Source organism: Homo sapiens, chromosome 1 (genome assembly GCF_000001405.40).
Source record: "Homo sapiens chromosome 1, GRCh38.p14 Primary Assembly".
Taxonomy (NCBI): domain Eukaryota; kingdom Metazoa; phylum Chordata; class Mammalia; order Primates; family Hominidae; genus Homo; species Homo sapiens.
In genome coordinates, this window is record NC_000001.11 from 20,125,883 (window position 1) to 20,131,882 (window position 6,000).

Below are 6,000 nucleotides of genomic sequence, written 5' to 3' on the forward strand. Positions count from 1 at the left end.
CCTTTGGACATCCTTCCAAATTATCAGGTATCCTTCCAGGTTATGAGCAACCAAGGCCATGTAGTAGAAAGAAAGCCCCAGCTTTGATATCAGAAAACTCTGTCTTTGGCTTCTAGTTTAATAACTGTGTTACTTTGATCGGGGTGCTTCATCTCTCTGAGCGTCAGTTTCCCAACTGGAAAATGGCACCAATGATGCAGCTCCTTTAGGCTTGTTGTCATGATTACAGGTAGCATGACTGGCACATGGTAAGTGGTCAGTAACAGGAGGAAAAGGTCTAGGGTTCAAACTCAGGCAAGGGGCAGGGCAAACTGCCCTCTTTCTGCACCTCAAGCCCAGAGAGTCTTGTTTCAGAATGACACAAAGCTGGTCACATGCAATGGGGGGATTCCCAAGCCAGTGGCCACGAGAAGGCACTTTCAAAATCATTTGAAATCCCCATGCCCAGCAGCTTCCAGATGGTCATTACTGGAAGATTCTTTCCTGTGTTTAGATGCAGCCCAGCCCCCTGCTGCTTCATAAAGGCCACATCTGGTGGGAGGCCGCAGACCCTGGGCATCCAGAAGGAGGCCTGGTGGTCAGACAGACCTGACATGGATCCTGACTCCCCCTCTGTTTTCTCATCTGTTACACGGGGCAGGGGAAACTGATAATACCCAGCTAGTGGGATTGGTATGAGGATTCCTAGACGTGGGGCATGCACGGCACTTGGCAATGTGCTTTGTGCAGAACAAACACTCGATAATGGCACTTGGTGGTGCTGTTATTAGTATTAGCTCAAGGGAGGCAAAGAGCACATTTCCAGGAAGTCCTACAGGAGCCCAGCACATGATTCCATTCCACCGACATTCTTGAGCACCTACTCTGTGCCAGCCCCAGCCAGACTCAGCACACTGTGCAGGGTGCAGAGACGAAGGAGCAAGACAAGGCCCTGCCCACCAGGAACTTACAGTGTCCTCAGAGTGACCAGACACTTTTCCAGCTGGTTGGGACCTGGGCAGTGCAGATAGTTGGTGGCCTGTCCGGTAGGTGCAGGTGAGGGGCTCACACTGATTTGCACAGAAGTCGGTTGCCCTGCCTGAGGAGTTGGAATGGAGGGCTGACTGGACAACAAGATAATTGTCTGGTGGGTTTGGCCGGAGTACTGCAGAGAGACCCTGTAGAACCTCCTGGCACCCCTCTGGTCACTGAGAGGGGCTATGCAAGGCACAGGTGATAGAGGGTGTCACTGTGGCATGGGATGGGACTGGGGGCACGCACCTCTTCCATACAGAGCGTGTATGGCTCTGAGGCTGGAAGGCAAGGCGACTTTCCTGGAACCCTGAGAGTCTGCAGCTTTGGGGGAATCTAAGGTCAGCACCCTGGGGTAGGCCCAATCTCTGTGGGTGCCAAGGCTTCCATGAGTAGCTGTGAGTGGATGTCAACACTGGGGTCAGGGGAGCAGGGCAGAGGGATATGAGCAGCTGGGGCTCCCGAGACGCTTCTGAAGATGCTCAGCTGACATGGCAAGGCGTTATTTTGGGAGGGCCGGTGGGCTGACTTATGTGGGTGGGACAGAGCCATTTCTGCCTGTTAATATGATCCCATAGGGGCTCATAGCCTCATGAAATCTGGCAGAAGGGTTAGCCTGAAAGGGTCCACCATCCACTCCACAGGAAATAATAGCACTTGGGCACGCACAGAATCTTCTATCTTTCTCGCTCCTTGAAGCACATTTTATATTTTGGGCACTATTTTTACCATGTGCAGATGAGGTTGGTGGGGCTCTGCAGGGTCTACTTCCTGTCTCTACGAATTTGACTAAGTACCTCACATAGGTGAAATCATACAGCATTTCTCCCTTTCTACCTGGCTTCTTTCATTTAGCACAATGTTCGCAAAGTTCGTCTGTGTTGTAGCATATGTCAGAATTTCCTTCCTTTTTCAGGCTGAGTCACATAATCTGTTTTTAAAAATAGCTTTATTGGCTGGGCGTGGTGGCTCATGCCTGTAATCCTAGCACTTAGGGAGGCTGAGGCGGGTGGATCACAAGGTCAAGAGATCGAGACCATCCTGGCTAACATGGTGAAACCCCATCTCTACTAAAAATACAAAAATTAGCTGGGCATGGTGGTGCACACCTGTAGTCCCAGCTACTCGGGAGGCTGAGGCAGGAGAATCTCTTGAACCTGGGAGGCCGAGGTTGCAGTGAGTTGAGATTGCACCACAGCACTCCAGCCTGGGCAACAAGAGCGAAACGCTGTCTCAAAAAAAAAAAAAAAAAAAAAAAAAAAAAACCAAACAAACCAAAACAGCTTTATTGAGATATTCACTCAAATGTATAAGTCAATGTTGTTGGTGGTGTTTTTTGTTTTTGTTTTTTCAGATTCACAGTTTTGCAACCATCACCACAATCTAATTTTAGAACTTTTTTTCTTTTTCTTTTTTTTGAGATAGGATCTCACTCTGTCACCCAGGCTGCAGTACAGTGGTGCAATCTCGGATCACTGCAGACTCAACCTCCCGGGCTCAAGCAGTCCTCCCAACTCAGCTTCCCAAGTAGCTGGTACTACAGGCACGCACCACCACACCCAGCTAATTTTTGTGTTTTTTGTAGAGATGGGGTTTTGCCATGTTGCCCAAACCGGTCTTGAACTCCTGGGCTCAAGCAATCCATCCGCCTCAACCTCCCAAAGTGCTGGGATTACAGGTGTGAGCCAACACTCCAGGCCTAGAACATTTTCGATATCCCAAAAAGAAGGGTCTCCAGCAAAGGACTGACCAGAACCGGTTCTTCTCACCTTAAGTCTAATTTTTCCCCCTAGAGGCCCACAGTCAGGAGCCATATGGTATTGTCATGGGCAGCACCACAGCCCATGTGTCCCCCACCCCAAATTAATATGTTCAAGTCCTAACCCCCAATACTTCAGAATGTGACTGTATTTGGAGGTAGGGCCTTGGAAGAGGTGATTAAGTTAAAATGAAGTTACTAGAGTGGGCCCTAATCCAATATGACTGGTGTCCTTATGAGAAGAAGAGATCAGGACATAGACAGGCACACAGAAAAGATCATGTGAAGACACAGGGAGAAAGTAGCCATCTACACGCTTGGAGAGAGGCCTCAGAAGGAACCAGCCCCACTGACACCTTTCTCTCAGACATCCGGCCTCCAGAACTGTGAGAAAATAAATTTCTATTGTGTAAGCCACCCAGTTTGTGGGACTTCGTTATGGCAGCGCTGGAAAACTAATACAGGTGTTAAGAGAGGCCAGAGAAAATAATGAATACATAGTAGACTTCCTGGAGGAGGTGAGCAGCCGGTAGGTCATTGCTCCTTTCTTCTGCCTGCTCCCCTCCCACTGGACCCCAGGTATGCACACGCAATCCCTGCAGGACAGAGACCTGCTCGGAGAGACTGGCCTGGTCCTCAGGGAGCCGCCTATAGTTGGGTCTTCCCTGGTTCATGGGGCTGAGACACATGGCTTCCCAGTTTGCTGCCTCAGTTTCCACCTCCATAAAATGGGAATAATGACATTTGATGCTTCCCTCTCCAGAGTTAACAGGTTAATGATTAGGAAATATTTGGTGAAATGGTGATTATCTAAATATTTTTGTTATAAATGTAGAAATTGTTTCTTATAAAAATTATTTTTTTTTGTAGATTCACTGTTTTGCAACCATCACCACAATCTAATTTTAGAAACTTTTTCTTTTTTTTTTTGAGACAGGGTCTCACTATTGAGGTACACTTTATATAAAAATATATTCATTTGAAGTTTTGTGAATTTTTACAAATATATGACATTTGTCAAGTATTTGTATGATAGTGACAGAAACGGACCAGTGACAACTACTGGTCCACTTCAGTCACTGTAGGTGAGTTTTGCCCTCTCCAGAATCTCAGATAGATGGAATCACACAATTTGTAGGATTTTTGTATCTGGCTTCTTTTATTTAGCCTAATGCTTTTGAGGTTCATTCACGTTGCTGCATGAATTTTATTGCTGAGTGGTATTTAGTTGGATGGATGCATTGCAGTTTGTTTATCCTTTCTTCAGTTGACGGACACTTGGTTGTTTGTAGTTCTGGGCTACTATGAATATGAGGCTGTTATAAACACTTGTGAATTAGTCTTTGTATGAACATATGCTTTTTTTTTTTCCTTTTGGGTAAATGCCAACAAGTAAAATGACTGGGTGTTATATGGTAAGTGCATGTTTAACTTTATAAGAAATTGCCCGTTTTCCAAAGTGGTTGTACCATTTCACATTTCCCACCACGAGTGTGGGTAAGTTTCAGTTGCTTTACAACTGTGCTACATTTTGATTTGGTCAGTCTTTTTCAATTGTAGGCGTTCTAATAGGTGCACAGCAGAATCTCATGTTCTTAATTTTTATATATCTGATGACTAATGATGATATGTGCTAATTTGCCAATCTGTATACCTTCTTTGGTGAAGTGTCTGTTCAAATCTTTTGCTCATTTTTTATTGGGTTGTTTATTTTCTTATTAATGAGTGTTGAGAGTTGTTTCTATATCTTGGATACAAGTCCTTTATTGAATATGTGCTTTACAAATATTTTCTTCCACTCTGTGATTTGTCTTTCCATTATCTTTTTTTTTTTTTTTCGAGACAGAGTCTCACTCTGTCACCCAGGTTGCACTGCAGTCCACTGGTGTGATCTCGGCTCACTGCAACCTCCACCTCCTGGGTTCAAGCAATTCTCTAGTGCCTCATCCTCCCAAGTAGCTAGGACTATAGGTGCACACCACCATGCCTGGCTAAATTTTTTGTATTTTTAGTAGAGACAGATTTTTGCCTTGTTGGCCAGACTGGTCTCAAACTCCTGGGCTCAAGTGATCTTCCCACCTTGGCCTCCCAAGGTGCTGAGACTACAGGCATGAGCCACCGTGCCCAGCCTCCACTATCTTAACAGGATGCTTGAAAGAGCAGAAGTTAAATTTTCTTTTTTTTTTTCTTTTAAATGAGGTCTTGCTCTTGTCCCCCAGGCTGGAGTGCAATGGCGTGATCTCAGCTCACTGCAACCTCCACCTCCCGGGTTCAAGCGATTCTCCTGCCTCAGCCTCCTGAGTAGCTGGGATTACAGGCACCTGCCACCACACCCAACTAATTTTTGTATTTTTAGTAGAGATGGGGTTTCACCATGCTGGTCAGGCTGGTCTCGAACTCCTGACCTCAGGTGATCTGCCTGCCTCAGCCTCCCAAAGTGCTGGGATTACAGGCGTGAGCCACCGTGCCCGGCCAGAAGTTAAATTTTCATGAAGTCCTTTTTATTGATTTTTTTTCTCTTACAAATTGTGCTTTTGGTGCTGTATTAAGAAATCTGCCTAATCCAAGGTCACAACAATTTTCTCCCTGGTTTTCTTCTAGAAATTTTTATAAGCTTAGGTTTTATATCTAGGTCTATGATCCATTTTTTAAATATTTTTTTAAATTGTAGTAAATACAACACAAAATGTACCATCTTAATCATTTTTTAGTACAGTTTAGTGGCGTTAAGTACATTCACATTGTTGTGGAACCATCACCACCATCCATCCATAGCACCCTTTTAATCTTGCAAAACTGAAACTCTGTACCCTTTAAACACTGACTCCCCACTCTCCCCTTCTCTCAGCCCTTGGCAACCACCATTCTACTTTATGTCTCTGTGAATTTGACTAAGTATCCCATATAGGCAAAATCATACAGTATTTGTCCTTTTCCAATCAGTTTATTTCACTTAGCCCAAGTCCTCAAAATTTATCTGTAGGGTAGCATATGTCAGAATTTCCTTCGTTTTTAAGGTTGAATAATATATTTCACTTTTGAAAACAGCTTTATTGACTGGGCGTGGTGGCTCACACCTGTAATCCCAGCAGTTTGGGAGGCTGAGACAGGGGGATTGCTTGAGCCCAGAAGTTAGAGACCAGCTTAGGCAACATAGCAAGACCCCATCTCTACCAAAAAAAAAAAAAAAAAAAAAGCTTTATTGAGATATTCATATACCATACCATTCA

At 44.9% G+C, this 6,000-nt stretch overlaps 2 annotated features.

Annotated features, from left to right (window-relative positions):
* Positions 212-581: an enhancer, noted in NCBI's record as "active region_314". NCBI's record gives its function as "activates an Ori minimal core promoter by ATAC-STARR-seq in GM12878 lymphoblastoid cells {active_cell/tissue: GM12878}" and the evidence as "EXISTENCE:reporter gene assay evidence [ECO:0000049][PMID:35858748]".
* Positions 1,541-1,730: an enhancer, noted in NCBI's record as "active region_315". NCBI's record gives its function as "activates an Ori minimal core promoter by ATAC-STARR-seq in GM12878 lymphoblastoid cells {active_cell/tissue: GM12878}" and the evidence as "EXISTENCE:reporter gene assay evidence [ECO:0000049][PMID:35858748]".